The sequence below is a fragment of the Homo sapiens genome, chromosome 4 (assembly GCF_000001405.40).
Source record: "Homo sapiens chromosome 4, GRCh38.p14 Primary Assembly".
NCBI lineage: Eukaryota > Metazoa > Chordata > Mammalia > Primates > Hominidae > Homo > Homo sapiens.
In genome coordinates, this window is record NC_000004.12 from 162,095,573 (window position 1) to 162,117,607 (window position 22,035).

Consider the following 22,035-nt stretch of genomic DNA (forward strand, 5'->3'; position numbering starts at 1 on the left):
TTTTTCAAAGAGAGGAACACTAAGCAGAAAAATGGGTTTTTAACTGTAGCACATAAACCAAATTTATTTATGTTCTTAAAGAGGGTGTTTTTCACTATAATGATGGACTTAAACAATGGCTGAAATTTCATGGGGAAAATTAAATGATATTGTAGTTACTTTTGGAGAACACATAGTTACTTAGAACATCAAGTTTTGAAAAAAATGTTTATATAGGAGCTGAAATTCTAGTAGAATTGATAGAAATATGCTTGCGGTAGAAATGTGTGTACTTAAAATACACACGTTACATGTGTAAGTACGATGATCAAGCATTTTAAACAAGTACATTAGAAAAATATATCTTTAATGTGTGAAATCTTTATCTACCCTTTGTTAGAAGACCAGAGTTTTACTTCCAAGTCTACTACTACCCGATTGTAGCAACCCAGACACATGCATATAATGACTTAAATTTTTCATTAGTAAAATGAAGATATTACCCTTGTGGTCAGATAAGCTACATTTCAACTTTAACTTCCAGTGATGCTTTTGTAGTAGTTTTATAAATTAATGCAATAACGCTTCCAAATATTTAATTTGCTATCCTGAAAAAAATTTTTGAATCATCCTCAATTTTTAAATATATATTTCTTTGTTGCAAGTCTTCATCCTTCAAAGACTTGATTCATGGAACTAGCTAAAAACCATCTGAAATCAAAATTCACAAATCACTAGGTTGTTGCAGCAGAATCCTAAGACCAATCATCCAAGAATTTAACTTTTCTTCAGCAATGAAAACATTCTCCTCCAACAAAATTTATGTCACAATATATAAATATAAATATTTATTACTTATATATTGTAATAGATATATAATCAGAAATGCTTTAAGTGAAATGGGAGTAGGCAATCAAGAGGGCTGGCTGCTCAACCTTCTGTTTGTCTTGCATTTTCCTGTATAATTTCTTGGTCATACCCAAGTAATCTTAAAGCTCAACATAAAACAGAATGAAAACTAGAAATCTGGTGCAGTGACTCATAGATGCCTACATACCCTTTCCCTTAGTATCTCTACAACTCGACTAATGTGTGTTCTCCATTCAAAGGAAAGAAAGAATTCTTGTGGACAAGTAATGTAGCTTTAATTTTTTCCAAAATAATATTGCTTAAGTATGAACAAGTTTACTATATGTTATAAAAGGTATTCACATACATCTCCTATATAACTATAAATCAAAAATAAAGTTATAGGATTAATACAAAAATTTTTTAACGTTAACAATATTCAATTGATGAAATGAAAATGATACAATGCGTGATACATGATTGAATCTATATTAACACTTGCCACCCATCATACTAACAGAAATGTAGAACTCAGTAGGATTGATTATCCTTTGTTGTTTTATTCTTTAAGATGAAATAGCAGTTTGTTTTTAAGACTTGTTAAAGTCTAAAATACAAGATGATAAAGCAAGAGATACTTTCTCATTACAACAGTTATATCTTTTTTTACTATTGCTTTTCCTAGAGATTTAATTTACTCTTTTCAATGTTATTTCTGTCATTTCTAGTTTGTGTATATTTAATCTTCTCAGAGAAATGAGTTATAGGCATAATATATTAGGGAAATACTGTTTTAAATCTTAAATTGGGTGTAACTGATTATCCTTAGTGTCTGATAAATTGACTGCAATAGAGGAGAGGAATTTCCATTTTTTTTTAGCAATGAAATGCTAGCGAAATAAATATGGTGTGTATATATATGTGTGTATACGCATATATTTGTGTGTATATGTAATACTTGTGTATTTCAATAAAATATACAATTATTTTAATCATATGTAACTTGTAGCAAGTTATAACTTTCAATTATTTTATTATTAAATGTTTGAAATTTCTGCCCAAGTATGGACTTTTATTGTCATAATCAACACCATTTTCTACAAAATTATATTAAACTGGAAAACAGTAGCTTTAATTAGCTATAAATGATGTAAGTATTCCTATAAGCTAATTATATATACTTTGTAGTATTAATAAAATGTAAAGCACTTCAACAACTTAAAAATGAAAAGAAAAGCAATTTACAACAATGGCAAAAATTGGAGCAGACCCTTCACAAAAGAAAATTTATAAAAAGTCAGAATGCAAAAGAAAAAAGCTCAAAGTCACTAGTTAACAAGAAAATTAAATTAAAACTACAATGGATAATACTACACACTCTCCAGAATGTCTGAAATTAAAAAGACCAAAACAGCAAATACTGTCAAAAATGTGGACCACCTGGAAATTTCATACATTGCTGTTGGGAATGGAAAATTGTACATCTATAGAAAAAGGTCTGGTAGTTTCTTATTTTTAAAAATGCCTGCACTATGAGCCGGCAATCCACTCCTAGTAGCGACCCAAGGGAAACTGAAATAATCACAAAAATATTGCATAAGGATGTCCATAGCAGCTTTATTTATAAGAATCCCAATCTGGTTTCCAACATAGTAAAAGGAACTGAAGATAAAAAATAACCAAAAAACAAAAAGCATAGTTATCTACACTGGGTAGTATTCCTCTAACTAGATATATAAAAAGGAATTCACTACTGATAATCAAAATAGCATAGATGAATCTCAATATTATTCTGAGTGAAAAACGTATTACATAAATCTGCTATATGGTATGATCCCATTTACATCAAAATCTTAAAACAGATAAAACTATATCATGGTTAAAAAAAATCAGAACATTGGTTGCCCTAGAAGAAATGGAAGCGGAGATTGATAGAGAAAAGGCCTGAGAGAAACATTTGAGGGGATGATGACATTCTATATCTTCATGCATCTATATATTGATGTATTTTGCAAAAATATACACTTTTGTTCAAGACTCAGAGAATACGCATGTAACATCTGGGCTGTCCATTGTATAAAAAATATTGGGATGCAATGAGTTAATGCAAATGATTCAGTGAAATCTCAGTCAAAACCCCAGAAAGTTATTTTGTGGATATCAATAAACTGATTCTTAGTTTAGACAGGCAAAACCCCCAGAATAGTCAACTCAATATTGAAAGAAAAGAACAAGGTCAGAGGACTAGCAATACTAAATTTCAAGACTTACTATTATACAAAGTCATAGTAAATAAGACTGGCTGGTATTGATGAAAGAATAGACAAACATATCAATAGAACATAATGAGAGTCCAGAAATAAAATCACATAAATATAACCAACCTATCTTGGAAAAAGTTGCAAAAGCAATACAATCGAGCAAAGATAGTATTTTCAACAAACGCTTCTGGAACAACTGCACATCTACATGCAAAAACAGCAACAAAAAGAATCCACACACAGACTTTAAATCCTTCACAAAAATTAACTCAAAAAGGATCATAGAACTAAATGCAAAACACAAAACTATAAAACTTAAAGACTATAAAATAGAAGATCTTTTTCTTCTTTTTCTCTTTTTTTATTAGGACATGATTGTATAAATTTTTAGGTGCATGTGATAGTTTGATACATGCATACAACACTTAATAATCAAATCAGGATAACTGGGATAGTCATCACCTCGAACATGTATCATTTCTTTGTGTAGTAGCATTCTAAATATTTTCTTTCAGCTATTTTGAAACACACAATAAGTTATTGTTAACTATAGCACGCTAAGTGTCTACATACATCCAAGGGATTTAAGAAAAGGAAAATAATTGAAGAAATACTAAAGTGTATAAAATGTCCAATTATTGCATAAAGCTACTGTTTCAAGCAGAATCCAATTTGAAATTATCAGCATTAATTTAAATGAATTATTCATAGTTTGTATTGTTAAAAAAGAATACAAACACTTTACAATAAAAATGTTATGTCTCTCATGGCAAGAATGGATTCACAATAAATTTATGATCCACAAAAATATAAGATAATGTAGGAGCAAATCTAGATAACCTCTGGTATGGTAATGACCTTTTTAATACAACAACAAAGGCACAGTCCATGAAAGAAATAATTGATAAGCTGGACTTCATTAAAATTAAAAATTTCTGCTATAGAAATAAACACTGTCAAAAGAATGAGAAGACAAACTGCATAATAAGAAAAAATATTTACAAAAGATATATCTGATAAAGGACTGTTATCCAAAATATACAATGAACATGAAAAACACAACAAAAAGAAAACTGACAACCCAATTATAAAATGGGCAAAAGAGCTGAACAGACACTATCTTCAAAGATACACAATTGACAAAATACATTTTCTGTTTTCATAGATATTAAACATCATATGTCATTAGGGAATTGCAAATTAAAACTACAGCGTCCACTATTTGGACAGCCAGAATGCAAAATACTGACAACACCAAATGCTGGTGAGGATAGTGGAGCAATAGGAACTCTCATTCATTGCCAGTGGGAATGAAAAATTATACAGCCACTGTAGAATACAGTTTGGCAGTTTCTTACAAAACTAAACATATGTTGACCATATGATCCAGCGATCATGCTCCTTGGTATTTACCCAAAAGAGCTGAAAATGTATGTCCACAGAAAAATCTGCATGGGGATGTTTATAGCAGTTTTATTCATAATTGCCAAAATTTGGAAGCAACCAAGATGTTCTTCAGTAGTGAATGTAAAAACAAACTGTGGTACATTCAGAAAATGGAGTATTATTCAGCACTAAAAATCAATGAGCTATTGCACTATGAAAACACATAGAGGAGGCCGGGTACGGTGGCTCACGCCTGTAATCCTAGCACTTTGGGAGGCCGAGGCGGGTGGATCACAAGGTCAGGAGATCGAGACCATCCTGGCTAACACGGTGAAACCCCAACTCTACTAAAAATACAAAAAATTATCCAGGTGTGGTGAGGAAATTCCAATGCATATTACTAAATGAAAGAAGACAATCTCAGAAGGGTATATACTGTATGATTCCAACTATATGATGTTTGGTGAAAACGAAAGATGAAGAGGCAAAGCACAGATATTTAGGGCGATGAAACTATTTTGTCTGATACTATAGTGGTGGATACATGTCATTATACATTCATCAAAACCCCTAGAATATACAACACAAAGAGTGAACCTATTACAAACTATGAACTTTGGGTGATGATAATGTATATTCAATGTAGATTTATTGACTATAAATGTACCACTCTGATACAGGATGTTAATAAAGGGAGGGCTGTGCATGTGTGGGGGAGGGGGTATAGAGTGACTCTTTGTACTCTGCTCAGTTTAGCTGTGAACCTAAAATTCTCTAAAAATAATGTTTGTTTTAGAAAAAAGCAGTGAGAAAGAGAAAAGAGGCCCTTAACTCAAGAGAAAGCAAACCACACTGCTGGCATTTCTGATAACATACGAGAGCACGATTTTGACAGCCTGTTGGAAAGAGATACTTATTGTTGGGTGCTTCTACTTACTGATTGTATAATGAGTGACAGACCCACCTTTGAAAGGGGCCATGGTTTTAATCCACACAGGTGATAAACACACAATCGCCTTCAGACAGCCAGGTGGCTAGCTCAAAGTCTTAGACTAAGCATGCTTTTCTTGTACCTAGTCCGGCAAACATACATAATCACCTGCTTTTATTTTCATAGAGACTACCTCCTATAAAGCAAACTTTGCATTGGCTCTCCCTGAAGAACTATCCCTCTGTTGCACATCTAAATAAGGTTTTAAGGTATGTTTTCAGTAAATTCATTGGAGATGTTTGCTTCAACAGCAGTCAGGGTAAGTCAAACTGTGTATTTAAGAACTTGATTTGAACTGTTTTATTCAGTACTTCATGTGTAGTAGGTACTTAATAAATATTTGTTGAAATAATGAGTGAATGTGCATTGTTCATTGTTAAAAGCTGAACTTAAAGAAAAGCATTAATTTGAGGAGACAGCTTTAAAGGAAAACAACTGTTCTGGAAGACAGAAAATCTGGGTTCCATTCTCGGCTGAAAAGTTTGTGGCTGTGTCATCATCAACTTAAAAATCTCTGCCTCTCAGGCTCTCAGTTTTGCCATCTGTATTAGATTAAAAAAATAGAAGAATATTTCTACTATTTTATAAAACTCAGTTCATATGTGAAGGAACTAAGGCAAGAAATAATGGAATAAGTAATACTGGATACAAATAAAACCCTTCCAGTTGTGGCTTGTATACTGTAGGGTTTTTAATCTCCTAAACATGCCGAATGTCAAGCTCATAAACCAGAATATTTCTTTTCATTTGTAACACAGAGCTTTGCTAATTGAAGTCACAATGGAATTTTTAATAATAAAACATGCAGAAAATAACTTATAATTAATTCACACATTGAAGTAGTGACAGTGAATGCCAACTTGCCAATGGATCAATATCAATGATTAGAAAACATATCTTTAGTCATTCACCTATTTTTAACTCATAACCCTTTTTCCTACATATACATATTTGGAGTATCCACAGAGGCCTCTTGAAAACAACCACACCTATATTTTATTTTTTGAATAGGTGGAAGCACAAAGTACTTAATTAATGCAGATTTAGGTGTGTTGATTGTTATTCTTTAGCTAATTATTATGATCTAGCACTACTGTTTCCACAGAAATTGTGAGAAAAGACAAAGAGATCTAATGGTAAAAAGACTTTGGAAGTCCAACAGAAAAAAAAAATAAACAGTAGCCTGCTTAACTCACCTGTGTCCTAATATTCTGATGCTTCTTTATCTATAAAAGGATCACTGACTTCCTGGAAACAAGGTTAAATCCATGTAGTTTTTCAACTATTGAAACAATTATATATATAAATATGCATCAGCATTCTATTTACATCTATTCAACACAAATAAGACAAAGTAGGCAAATAAAGTCAAACGTGTATAGTATATTAAAGCCAAGCTTGTCAGGAGTCCAGATCACTCCAATTATGTGCCAGCCTTTGGCACATATGATGTTTTCTACCACCCAAATATATATTTTCAAGTGACCTGAAACACAGTACTTTCTCTTACCCCACTCCATCTATATTATAATATTTATATATATAAAATAGATATATATTTAATATTATATTATATATAAAATATTTATAACATATATAAATATGTATATTTATATATACATATATAAAAATATGTATAACATATTTATATTTATATAATATTTATATATTTATATATATTTATTTATATTTATATTCATATATACACATATATAAATATGTATAACATATTTATATATATATTTATATATGGAGTGATCTGGACTCCTGGACAAGCTTGGCTTTAATATACTATAGACATTTGACTTTATTTGCCTACTTTGTCTTATTTGTGTTGAATAGATGTAAATAGAATGCTGATGCAACACTTTTTTAGCATTTCAAAAGTTCAAACTTGCCAAGGAAAGCAGCTCTATTTTGTCAAGTTATGGTTACTTTTAAAGCTTTAAGCAAAATATTTTAATGTAGGGTCACAAAGGTGTAAAAGAGCAACTGTTTTTGCATACCACCTACAGATCTATAATAATCATATTGTTTTGGGGACTCATTGTCAAAGATCAAAAGACGATTTTCTGTAGTAGGTCTTTATCTTGAGAATTTTAGAAGTCAGATATATCCCTTTATTTACTTGCTTTAGTTAAGCAAAGCAATTCAGTCCAGTGAATGCCAGTTTTCTCTAGAATAGGAAATAAAGTTTTTTTGAAGGAATAAACACGCAAACAACACATTCAAAGGTCAACAAAACTTTGTATTTTCTTAAAACTCTTAAAAGGACAAAACTAGGTAAAAGGTAGAATGAAGCTATAAACAAATACCTGGTTTTCAGATTAACTCTGTGCACACAGCATTTAGCTTTGGCCTTAAGCAAATGTATTTAGTGGCAATTGTGACCTCCAGTATGTAATACATGGTACTCTCAATGTGTATTGGTAGCCAGTTCTCCATGGGTCTCTAATAATTAGTTTCTGCACATCTTGTGAGCAGAGATAGTAACCTCCATTTGTTCTGGACCATCTCTCTGTTCAAGGATGCTTACATAGCAAAGTCTTGGAACATACAGAAAATGTCTCTCTCTGAAGCAAAAGGCTAGTGTATTCATAGCCTTGTAAGATGGAAATTGTATCTCCATTTAGAACAAAGGAAATGACCACTTACTGTCCCCTACTGAGAGACAGGACTAGCTGGATTTCCTAGGCAGACTAAGAATCCCTAAGCATAGCTGGGAAGGTGACAGCATCCACCTTTAAACAAGGGTCTTGCAACTTAGCTCACACCCGACCAATCAGAGAGCTCACTAAAATGCTAATTAGGCAAAAACAGGAGGTACAGAAATAGCCAATCATCTATTGCCTGAGAGCACAGCGGGAGAGACAAGGATCGGGATATAAACCCAGGCATTAGAGCTGGCAAGGGCAACCCCCTTTGGGTCCCCTCCCTTTGTATGGGAGCTCTGTTTTCACTCTATTAAATCTTGCAACTGCACTCTTCTGATCCGCGTTTGTTATGGCTCCAGCTGAGCTTTCGCTCGCCGTCCACCACTGCTGTTTGCCACTATCGCAGACCCACTGCTGACTTCCATCCCTCCGGATCCAGCAAGGTATCTGCTGTGCTCCTGATCCAGCGAGGCGCCTATTGCCACTCCCTATTGGGCTAAAGGCTTGCCATTGTTCCTGCACGGCTAAGTGCCTGGGTTCATCCTAATGGAGCTGAACACTAGTCACTGGGTTCCACAGTTCTCTTCCGTGACCAATGGCTTCCAACAGAGCTATAACACTCACCACATGGCCCAATACTCCATTCCTTGGAATCCATGAGGCCAAGAACCCCAGGTCAGAGAACACGAGGCTTGCCACCATCTTGGAAGCCTCCGGCTACCATCTTGGAAGCGGCCCGCCACCATCTTGGGAGCTCTGAGAGCAAGGACCCACTCCCCGACCCCTGTAACACTATAATAAAGAGAATGTTTTTCTCTGGAGCAAAGAACAAACAGGCTCATACAACAGACCTGGTGTTCTTCAACTCACAGGTCTTCTCGTGTAACATACTCTATGGTGTGCACTAGTGTAACCTGCATTGCCCTGTGGAAACTGGGCTTAACAAAACTAGCCCAAATGATGACACTCTGGCTACCGCTACTACTGTGAAGAATGAACTGTCCTTTGTCTTTGACCCAGGAGTCTTCTGTTTTCTATCACTACTCATGAAACTATGTGTGACAGGCTATCTTTAGAGCTTGCAAAGAGGATAAAATCTCAGACCTTTCACAATTCTTGATATTATTCAGAGTCATTCACTGAAGTAAAGCTTGCTTAAATGTTTCCCTGCCTGACTAGAGCTTGGAAGGTAAAAAGAGGACAGAGGACCTCAGGAAAAAAACAATACTACCCCTTGTCAACAGAATCATCATTATAATACAGAGTTCCTTTCAGGCAATTAGCATGTTAATTTTAACAATAAAAAAGCATCTAGCCTATGGGTAATCCAGGTAGAGAGTATTTCTAATAAAACGAGTTGCTTTTAGTATTTTCTCCCCTCCCCAGATTTATTGACGTAAAACTGACAGAAAATTGTATATATTTAAAATGTACAACTTGATGTTTCATATGCATTCTGAAATGATCATCACCATCAGTTAACATATCCATTACCTCACATATTTACCATTTATTTTCTTTCTGTGTGCTTGTGTGGTGAGAACACTTAAGATCTACCCTACTAACCAATTTTGAGTATACAATAGTGTTAATTATAGCCTCCATACTGTACATTAGATATGCAAAACTTATTCATCTTGCATAACTGAAACTTTTACAAACATCTTCGTGATTTGATTTTTGCCTAGGCCTCTTAAATGACTAAGAAAGCATTTTTGCTAAAACTCAAATATTTTTTAGATTCATTTTTCCCATTTATAAAATATACGGAACTATTACATGTACTTTGATCTTATTAACCTAGGACTCTGATTTTTTAATTATTCTTCAATAGTTCTTGCACAATCACAAAAACGGGTAGGATGGTGTCAGTTAATAATGAGATATAATTTATCAGAAAAAAATAAAAAATTTTTCAAACATAATTTATTTTATTAGAAAAATTATGAGATTTATCAATAATATTCAGCCTTTTTGGTATATACAGAATAAACATATCAATATATTAATTGGTATAATCCTTACTATTTAGTTAATTAATTCTTCAACTAATATTCTTTTAACTCCTCTGACCGAGGACATATTTGCTCTCAGATGGTGGTCCAAACTGCTTCCTGACCTCTGCAAAATACATTAACATTTTAAAGGACCTTTCTTGAATATGCTGCCAGCAATCACATACGTCAGAAGCGATAGCAAATTTTTTCCTCAGTCAGGAAATAATGCTCCTGGGTCTGCCTGAAGGTTCACACCCTCTAAGAAGTCAAAGTTTTGATGTTTTCTTTAATGTTTGTCTCTTTCCCTAGAGTTCTCTACTGCCACTCTTCACCAATCCACATCTATCACTCTTTAATATCGAAAGTTAAAAAAATCACATCCCACAAAGGAATTCTTTGAATTATACTGTACTATCATAAATAGCAACCCTCTTAGGAATTATTAAATCATGTACACCCTTTGCCCCATTTGCTCAGTAACTACCTTTACAGATAAACATTTTGATTTAGTAAGTAAGAGAACCATAAGTCAATTTAGATTTGTGGAGGTAGCTCTGCACTACAAAGTTGGACATAGTAGTATCTGGTTAAATAGAGATAAAAGCATTTTAAGGACTTTAAGTGGTCCCACTAGGTATACTCAAAGAATACTCTTGTCTGTCCTCATAAGATCTTCCCTCAAGCCTGACTTTGATTATAATCATCAGCAAACAATGTAGCAGTGTGATCAGCACTGTAGTTAAGAAAAAAGGTTGTAAGCTATGTAACTGACCCCAAAAGGATTTAACCAGCAACCAATTAGATACACGTTAATATGCTGAACTATTAATACATACATATTACATCATTATAAATATAGCCAGGGGTTAAATTGGGATGGAAAATTACAACCAAGCAAGTAGTGAGAAGAAAGGGATAATGGAGAAATGAGAATAAGAAAAGGCCAAGAATAGAAATGAAACAGGGAGCCAAAATGGTAAAGAAAAAGGAGCACAGGGTTTGTAATTAGGTAATGTGGGTTTAAGTTCTAGTTCTGTCTTGATTGCAGATAACGCTAAGGTTTTAATGAAATAACCAACAACTCCCAAATCTCAATGATGTACAAAATGAAGTGATTTAAAACCCTTCAGTTCTTATTCCACGACAATCTCTAATTGTTAGGACATTTTACTCATCATAGTTATTTAGGCAGTTTGGAATACTTAAGTAGCCCCCACCTTGAACAGACGCTGTTTGCAATGCTTCAGAAAAAAGAGAGTTCTGGAAGATTTTACAATTGTGATCCAATGTGAATTATGATATAATTCAGCCCAGATGCATTGCATGGCACTTCTGCCCCCAACTCATTAGCCAGAACTAGACACATGGTCCTAACCAAGCACAAAAGTGCCAAGACATGTAAGCCTATGTTACTATCACATGAATGTGGGGAGAACAGGAAATACATTGCATACAGGCCAAATTACTACAAAAGTACTCATTCTGTAACCTCTATTAAGTTATTTAGACTGCGTATCTCCAAATACTGCTGTCTGGCTTTCCAGCTGTGACATTAAGAAATTAGTAAATATCTATGAACTCCAGTTTCCCCGTTTACAAAATAGCAATAAAATCACTTATGCCATGAGAATATTCATATAATAAAGTAACCTAATGTATGGAATATAGCTAACAGAGTACCCGCTATACAATCAATGCCCAGTGACATGTTAAGTCAAGTTCATCATGGCTGTTCTGAGTACACTAATTCTAAAGACGGCTCAAAATTTGCCAGTGTCCAAGGAACTTTCTCACAAATGCACAAGACTGTCAATAGTCACTACACTGTGCTCACACACAGATTTTGGGTCACAGACCTGCAATTAGGATGGTTAAGTATTGCTTCCTCGTGAGTCTTCATGGGGAGGTTGGCCTAAATGAGGACTGCAACAACCATCAGGAGAAGACATTCATTTCAGAAATGGACATGGGGATTCTATGGTTGTGCTTATGGAGGAACAAGAAAAACAAACTGAAAGAACATAAGATATTTCTCCTGAGGTCAATGTCATTTTGCTTTACTATCATCATCGTCTTTATTTATTTTCTGGCCTTTTCGTCCCTATGTCTGCCCTACCTTTGCTTTTACCTGCCTTTAAGGACCTCATTAGTTCTCACTCTCTCTTGTCCTTGGTAAAGTTACTTTACCTCTCTGGGTTTTAATAATGCCATGTGAATAAACAGGAATAATATTCCCTACATCCCAGGATTATTATATAAATTACAATAATTAATGTATATGAAACCACCTAGCATGATATGAGTATGCAATATTTAAGTTAAAATGGTAAATAAAATCCACTTTTGGAATTTGGATTTGGTAATTGTATTTTACAAATCTAGAGAGTGAATGAATTCCTACATATGATGTTCCATACATGCTTGTTAAGTAAACACATGGGATAAAACATATGATCGGTTTCCTCTCTTATCTGTGGATTATAAGTAAGATTTCTACAATTAGCATGATAGATTGTTGTGTCATTCATTTCTATCTCAAGATACAGACAAATTTTCAATTACATTTATGTTTACATATAGTTGTAAATGATATGCCTGCATATTTTTATATTTGTATCTACAACATTTCAATGTAATCTGACAAACAGGTCTCATATTTTCCTTTTTGATTCCAAAATTGGATTCATTATATGGCTGGCACACAAATATTTGGTAAAAATGAGCTCTATATATCTCTTTGTTCAGATTCAAAGTACTTACATTCTTCTAGGAAAAATGTAAAATGTGACTTATCAGACCTGAAGATCTATTTTGTATATTATTTATTTTATACTTTTCTAGTCAATAAGTAATATTTAACATTAGCAAAATATAATCTAAATGGATTTTGCATTATTTGTCTTAAAATACAAATATTTACATTTTTGCAATTTAAATAAATCATATAGGTTAAAAATAATGAATAAGAGAAAATTAATTTGTATGATGCTATTAAAATAATTTATTTTTAAAATTTGAAGTATTGTGCTGCTGTTGACTTTAGTTTGATAAATAAAAAGAAATTTTACTTATTTTAATTATTAACTAGATAAATAGAAATATATATATGTATATATGATACATATGTTATCTTGTTTTCAGCCTTATTAGAGCCATCTGATAAAGTCATTTGTTCGCCATAATTTATTGAACGTGTACCATGTGCCCAATACTATCCTTATTTTGGAGCAAGATGAAAAGTAGTTCACATCCTAATGAAAGAAAACATCCAACAAACTAAAAAATACGTAAAGTATATGTCTTGACAAATGGTGTCGAGTTTTGTGGATGAAAACAAATCAAAGAAATTGATAGGGAATGTTTTTGGCTTGTCATTTTCAATCATTGTTTGGTAAGGTCTCACCAATAATGCGATGTATGGACCCAGTGGGTTCATAATGGGAATCAGTGGGAAAAGGAAGGCCAGAAATTTCTGGGATCCTAATCTTGACTGACACAAACAGAAATAAAAGCTCTAATACAATCTTCAAGGTGTCAGAGAAAAGAAGGTAATTCCTGAGGGCTGAATATGAGGGTTGACAATGAGTACAAAGTGTAAGATGGGGTTTTTACAGGGACTTGTACAACCCAGGATTCCTAGTCATTCCTGTCAAACATACACTTTCTCACACAAACAGACACACACACATTCACCAAATCTCATCTCTGCTCAAAGTTGTTTGAAAGTTAGATATGACCAGGCATTCTCTGTCTCTACTTTTAAAACCAACAGTCATTTATTATTTCTATTTAGCCATAAAGACATACAGATATATAAAATATTAGAAGGTGACTTCAATGATTTTTGGTAGGTATTAGTGCTTCTCGAACAACTTTAACTCAGTGTGTTATTTCTTTAAAGCTTTACTAAACCTCAACACATAAGTTTTTCTTTAGCATCCAAACATAATTGAAAATAGTTTGTTTATAAAGGTATATACTAACACATTAAAACCGGTGGTATGATATTTAGCAAGGGAACAATCAGAAAAGCATCATCATGCATTCATTTTTCTGCCGTTGATTTAATTAAACAGTGTCTCTTATGTTCACAGCACCAGAAATAAAAGGATGTGAAAGAAAAGCATAATTCCTCATTTCAAGACACATAACTTAGGGCAGACAAACAGCACAGAATAAATATTCAATGGGTACATAACAATATATACCAAATTGCTATATTAATAATGTGTTCTGAGAACATTAAGAGTTATTATTTCTAAACTTCAGCTGGGGATAAAACTGATTATTAGTCCATGAGGTAGGAGAAAGCATTGATAATTGAAAAGTGGTAGGTTAAGGGCAATTTTCCAATTGCATATGTCAAGACTAGATACTTTAAAAACTTATTTATTTTCACATGTAACTGAATTTTTACAATGATTTTGACATTAAAGTATATTTTTACATTATACTTACTTCCTTTTTTGTTGACTATCGAATCTATCCTTCATATTATCCCAATTAATATATTTAATAAATGTGTGCATTTAGAAAATTCCTTCACCTTTTTGTGACTTAATTTATTGCCTATAAAATGAAAATAGTTACTTCTTCATAAGATTGCTTTGAAGATTAAATCAGATAATACATTGAAGAGCTTAGCTTAATGTCTGGTACACAAAAGTCCCAGTAAAGATTGGCTATTTTATCAAAATATTTGATACTTACAAAATAATTTCAGCAAAAATATATGCAGTGTAAATGCATATATTAATTCCAAGGGGAAAAAAAATCTATTTGTTTATTTCAAAAGTCTTTCTTATAGACAAGTTGAATACGAAATTTTACAAATATATAAAGTTTTCTCCAATAATTAGTATGTTATTTTTGATGTTTTTCCTACTTTCTTAAAACTCAAAAATGTATTATGAAATTTTATGTGATTTAATAAAAAGTTGAGAATATTATTTTCAGTATCATGGACTGCTGTTAAAACATTAGCTTAATTTATTATAAGTATTTAATGTTTATAATTTATTATATGCCTAAATATCAGTTTATTTTATACTTCAAAACATTTAACATAAAAAGTGGAGTATTTGTCCAACATTAGAAAACCCCATATTGTGAAAATTTCTAAAAATTTCTATGGAAAGAAATCCTTTGCTAACCTATATATCTGCAGACAGTGTAGATAATTTTTTGTTTATCTTATAACAAAGCTAAGCATAGGACATAACACTTATTTAGTTTAAAATCTTCTAAAATCACAATTAATATGGGAGTAATATAAATTATCTGGTAGATTGGGTTTCATATTTACTTCTTTATAAATTTATTAGTATTACTGTAGGTAAATTCTAATAATTATGTTTTTAATGGGCTATCTCTATTCTTTGTCAAGAAGTAGTTCTCGAAATTGTAAATTTCCAAATTTACTGCTATTTCATGTATTAAAATGTGCATTTTAAAAATAATATGGAAACTACTGAAAGCATATTCTGAAATAAGTGCTCCTAAGTGAATAATAAACCAGAAAACTAATAGCTTAGTTTATAATTGGCAGGCACTATGAGCAGATTCAGAATATTGACTGTACCTTATGTCGCAATCTCATTAGAGGCTGATAGGATTTAAGGCCATATCCTCCTTCTTTGGTTGGCCTTCCTTCCGACTCCAGAAAAATGAATCCGAGAACCAAGACAACTGACCAGCACTTAAACATCCTTATTGCTTTTCACCTGTCAAAATTAAAATTGCAAGGAATCAGAGAAAATGAATTATATATTAAAAAACATGTATCATGAAATATTTAATATCACATATAAATCTCCATTAATCTAATCAAAACTTGCTGGTAGTTGCCAAGGGAAATGAGAAGTGAGTATCTCCAAATACGGATTATTCCTTTGATCATAACAAATACTTTTTTTCATTCAGACAGCTATATAAAATATGGAATGAGAAGAAATATAGGGACTGATAAAAATGTGGTAAGAAAAAAGTTAATAAAAAAAGGTTGAAAGAAAAGGGGAAAATAGAGAAAATATTGCATTATACTTAATTTTCTAATTATCGGTACAGAATACAATTATTAATATATAAATATTGAACTTTGAGTATGTTTGATGAACAAATCTTAATAGACTTACCGTTATTATAATTCACTGGTAAATATTGATGAGAAGTTAATAAGATAGTCTATGATAGGTAGTACTTAATAAATTAACTGAGTACAACAGAAGTTATGCAGGTGGATTATATTTAGTTATTAATGTACTTTTTCAGTATTTAAAAAGGCATTTCCTAGAAAATTGCTTTACAAGCACTTTAAACTAAAAGTTTTATGTCTACTTCAGCCTTTCTATGTTTTTGGATATAAATAAGTTGTAAAATGGCATAAACTCATTATTGTATAAATACTAAGTCCTTTTCAAACATACAAATCTAAGCTTTGAGTTCAAGTATATCCTGCTTTATCACTTTCGCCAACACACCTCCTTCCCTACTGTGACAGAGAGCAGCTTTTTCTTCTGTCAAAGCCAATCTGTTATGTCTGATTTCTTGGGAAACTTAATCAATTGATTAGCATTGCTCTATGCTGTATTTTGGGTCTGTTTTAGCGACAGGGTCTCACTTTGTTATGTAGGCTGGAGTGCAATGGCACCATAAATGACCCTCCTGTCTCAGCCTCCCCAGTAGGTAGAATGGCAAGCGTGTGCCATCAGGCCGAATTAATGTTTTATTTTTACTTTTCAGAGACAGGTTCTCACTATCTTGTCCAGGCTAGTCTTGAACTCCTGGTGTCAAGTGCTTCTCCTGCCGTGGCCTCCCAAAGCACTGGGGTGACAGGCATGAGCCACTGAGTCTGGTTCTTGACTGAATTTTAAACTCCCTTTCTCAATTATTTTCTTCCATCTTTAGACAGGCAGAAATGGCCTGTGTTTGAAGGTAACTTCTCTCCTCTACTTTCTGAATTTCTGGAATAGTTATATATACATCATTCCATCCATTTTTTCTTACCCTAGTTCACTCAGTCACGCTTCTGACCTCATCAGGCCATTAAACTGACTTTTTAGCTTTCTCAAAGCTAACCGACACAATCACACACACACACACACACACACACACACACACACACACACCAGTGGGCATTCCTAATCCATTCTTACAAGACGTATGGTGGCCATTCCATGTTGTTGTTGTTCTTGTTGTTGTTTTGTGGAAGAAATTGTCACTTTCTTTGGTGTTTATAACACTTCTCTCTTCTGTTTCTGTAGATTTTGTGAAAACTCCTCAGTCCTTTAGTAGGTTCAGCCTATTGCTTTATTTTGCCATTAAATATTGTGGTTTATCAAATCTCATTGCTAGCTACCTGTATTCCTGCTTCATTCATTCAGCCCAGGTTATCTCAACATCATCTCTGGTCTTAATTATATATATTGCTTCACACCCAACCTCTAGATTGGTATATCTTGCTTACTTAACAGTTCCACCTTCATGTTTCAAAAACAGCCCTCGTAGTATGCACACCTTCACATAACACCACACTTTTCCAGATTTTCATTCATCTGTGTACTTAAACCAGAAACCAAGGAAACATCTTTGATATCTCTTGTTTACCCTTTAGATTAAACTCATCATTAATTCTTTTATATCTACCTTCTAAATACATTCCCAAACTTTGCTTCCCCTCCAAATTGACGGTCCCCACTCTATTGCAAGCTGTCAAGACGCTTCTCACCTAAACTGCCCCAACCACATCCTCGCTAGTCTTCCACATTTCTATATATGCATCTTAAGTCCACTCTCCACACAAGAGCCTGAGTGATCATGTTATTGCACTCATTAATAACTTTAGCATATTTTCACGTACTTTTAAGATAAAAACCAAAATCCCTGACCTAGCTGACAAGTTCCCAGTGTCTGAGCTCTATGTGTTTCTCTCTCCCTCTAGATATCACCTCCTGCGACACTAAACTTCATTCAGTTTTTTGAACTTATTTTGCCTGTCTCTGCTATAAGGCTTTTGTAAGGTATTTTCTCCACTTGAAATATGGCCCTTTCCCCCTGCCCCATTTATCACCCAAAAACTTTCACACATCAGACATTTCTCTCAAGAATCCCTTCCCTGAGTTACTTGTTTTAGTTACGCATTCCCATAGATCAGTTTTCCTTCATTTCAGGGATGTAATTATAAATCATAACCATGATTATTTGAAAAATGTGGGTCTTCTCCATTAGATATCTTTTTTCTCATCCAAACTTTGTTAATGCAGGAAATTGTTTGCTTTTATTTTTGTTTTCTTCAGCATTACATCACCTGGGCCTAGCAAATAGCCCAGAACAATACATGAATGCATAAATGTCATTCTGCATTCAAGGATAAAATAAAGATCATGTTTCCTTACATTCTGATAATGTTGAATGCAATTCCTATTTCCACTGATGCTACAAAGCTTCTGAAAACTAACCTGAGCAAACTAAATATTTTCATTTGCAACCCATCCCCCTTTTTTTTGTCATTTTGATGTATAGCCTAATCCTTTTCTCAGAGGTAAATATTTGTTTATAAGACATCTGGATGGAAGATATTAAATCCAAGATAGAGCCAAAAATAAAGCAAAAAGGACCAGCTCAAGTTAAGAGATATTTTCCACAAGGTTCTGAATACATCTGCTGCTTCTGTTGTCCACGAGGAGAGTCAAGAAAGAGGCATGAAAACAACTTCCTTCCACCCTGACTGAGTACAAGTGAGGTCAGAAATTTCTTTAAAGTGCTCAGTTAAGATTTCTCTTTCTCTGCCCTCCCTCTCCTTTTCTCTCTCTCTTCTTCCCTCTCTTTCTCTTTGTGTGTGGACACACACACACACACACACACACACACACACACACACATATTCTATATGACTACAAATATTTCATGCATTATAAAATATAGAGCAAATTAACAACTAACTTTAATAAGTTACTAAAAATCTTATAAAGCTTCTGTTAGATCCCATGCATTCAGACTTAGATCAACATTATCCTGAAATATTTTATCTACCCAAAGGCAGTAAGCTAGAAATATCTACCTTACATTTCACTAAAAGTCGATACAAATAAGTCAGTGTGTAAATCTTCAAGGCTGTATAGGCAACCTATTTGTGCTATTTTCATCTACATCTCTTATATGATTAATCATAATTAATTGTTTTCATTGATAGTCCTAAGATTTCCAAGTCCCAAATTTCTCAGTAATACAAAGTTATACAAAAATAAATATACATATATGCTTTACCTCAGCAAAATTTATGATATGACTGGATTGATTTACTGGTATCACAAATAAAACTAAACAGAACTAATATTAAAAGTCAGATCGTCAGAAGTCAGTTTTCCTTAGGAAAACTCTGATTTCTGTTACACATAGGCATTTGAGCTCAGCAGTGCAGAGGTAATAGCCAAAAAAGACCAGAGAAAGAACAAAACCTAGTTTCTGTGCTCCTCTTTTGTAAATAACTACTTTGTAATTTTTTTCTTCATTGAAATATTACTAAGAAAAACAAATGAATCCAATTATATAGTTATCAAACAGTAACCTAAATTAAAAAATGGCTCTTCTCAATGTATGCTCAGAGAATCATGATCATCTTCTTATTTCTCTTTAGATACAAAATCCAAATATATCATTATTATATCTTTAAAAGTTCACTCATCCACAGAAAGTGTTCTGGAAATTTTTTGTAAATCAGCAGTAATCGATCCCACCATAAACAGTGTCGTAATCTCACTTTCTTAGTATAGTAACCTCTGACAACCTGTTAGGTTTTCAGAATTAATTGGCAGTTTGTTGACAGCTCACTGACAACACTGAAAAGCACGTGACTAAAACAAACCAGCTGGAACAGATGGTGCAATAATGATCCTGTGACTTTTCCTTGTAACCTCCATCTTCACAGGAAAGCATCAGAAAACAACCTCATTATTAACTTGAAGAAAACAAAATGCATGTGTATCTAAAAGTATCTGCCTAACTTCAGATCTAACAAAGTGAGACTTTAAAATGGTGAGGGGGTGGGCAGAGATCTCTCTTCTTCAAAAGATAATATGTTTCTTTGAATCAAGCCATTTTTATTTTCTCCGCATGGCAAAACATGCCATGCTGCTTGCTGGGGGTAGGATTTAGAGTAATTACGTTATTTAGTAGATTCAAATTTGAGGGATTTTGATATGTTTACATATTCTCCAGAATGTCACTTCTAATCACTTGGGAAAACTAAGACCACTGAAGCATTGCCTTAAGAATAAAATGCAGCATTTGAGAAGAAGAAAAGTGTCGTAGCATGCCTTTGAATGAAAAGAGTGTCGAGATGAAGCAAAATCTCCAACATTATCAATTGTTGCAGAGAGGTTAAGTATCCTCACCTGCCTCTCACTCTGTTGTGAGTGGGCCATTTCAGGTTCTTGACTTAATGGCACAAAAGACTTTGAGAGCAAATTCAAAGTAAGAGTATGCAAAGAAGTTTATTGCAAAGCAGCAGTGCACTGTGAGACGTAGAGCAGGCTGCTCAAAGGGTGAGGCTGCAGCTAGTGCCTTAAGAGGAATTTCTTTTATGGGAGCTGTATGTGAATATTCATAAAATACTGCTGAAGTAACGTGTGCCAAGGCCGACCTCTAATTGGCTCATGCGCTCAGTATCTACATGCTGTAACACACTTCGCATGTACCGTTAGCATATAAAATCTCCACGTAGGTGTGGGCTTTTACCACTAAAATGAGGAAAGGGTTACTATAAGTTAAATCTTGAGCTTAGCTGTGCATGCAAGACCCCAGAGAAGTCCCTGCCCCCTGCCACCCAACTCCCACCCGCAGGCAGGAATTTGTAGCTAATAGCTTCTTGGGCTTTTGGTGCTAATTGGCTGGAGGTTGGGGAGGCTACATCAGGAATAAGGGGCTTTTGTTCTCTTTCCCAGGCGGTGCTAGATATCAGGAAGCTGTAGTCTTTTGGTGGTCTGCTGGTATCCTGTAGGACCGCTTACCTTTTAAAAGAGTTAGAGGCTGATGCAGGAAGGTGCAAGGGAAAAGAGCCCGCGAGGCTTCACACAAGGGAGACATCGGTATGGCCTCCTAGCCTTACTTACCCTGCCACAACTCCATAATGGAAAACTCCTCACCCTGTCCTAGAAAAATTCTATGGGTCTTTTCAGAGGTAAGTCCAACCTGATTCTTTGTGAGACCTTCTCTGACATTACCCAGGCTTTCTGTTCTCTGCTGCAATTTTTCTGTATCTTTCTTATGTGACTTCACCTCACACTGTGGCTATTGCTTTTAGAAAGGCTATCACTCTTACAAAGATGTAAAAGAAAGTAGTTTAGATGTACTAAACTAGTACCCACAGTCTAGCAAGTTTCTTACATTCCACAGACTTCTGGCTTTATTATGCAGCAGAAAAGAGCTGTAAATGCTCACTAGTGCCTTTTTTCTTTTCTGGTATCCTAGAATTCTGTGAGACAGGAAAACTGACTTCTAGACTACCTTGGGTCTTACTGTGTAACCTAAGCAAAACTGATTACCCTGGGTGGGCCCCATCTGTCAGAGGGGATTTACGATCCAATATAGTGTAGCACCTGTACCAGATTATTCCATCTGAGTAGATTTATCAAGTTGGAGAAGAGAAAGGGGGAATAACAGGTTTGGGAGAGCAAATGGCATTTTCTTTTTGGAGATGCCTTTTGGTAGTCCAAATGGAGATATTAGCTAAGCATTGGGATATAGGAACCCGGAGTTTAGCAAAGAGATATGGGCTAGAGATACCTGTTTGGGGTTCTTAACATTTATAAATCATCCAATCTAGGTGCGAGACAGGAGAAGGATGTGATTAGAGAGGAGAAGAGGTCCAAAGACTATGCTGTCAGGCAGGTTTAGTCGAAACACATTATATATTTCTAGAA

At 34.0% G+C, this 22,035-nt stretch overlaps 1 protein-coding gene across 4 annotated transcripts in view; it reads right to left on the reverse strand.

The window, feature by feature from the left end:
• Positions 1-22,035, reverse strand: part of FSTL5 (follistatin like 5) — a 780,104-nt gene that overhangs the window by 711,676 nt on the left and 46,393 nt on the right. For all 4 annotated transcript variants that reach the window (NM_001128428.3, NM_001128427.3, XM_011532126.1 and 1 more), the window contains exon 2: positions 15,699-15,840. In NM_001128428.3, coding sequence (NP_001121900.1) covers positions 15,699-15,824 — 126 coding nt within the window. In that variant the 5' untranslated portion in view covers positions 15,825-15,840. The remainder of the gene's footprint in view (positions 1-15,698; positions 15,841-22,035) is intronic.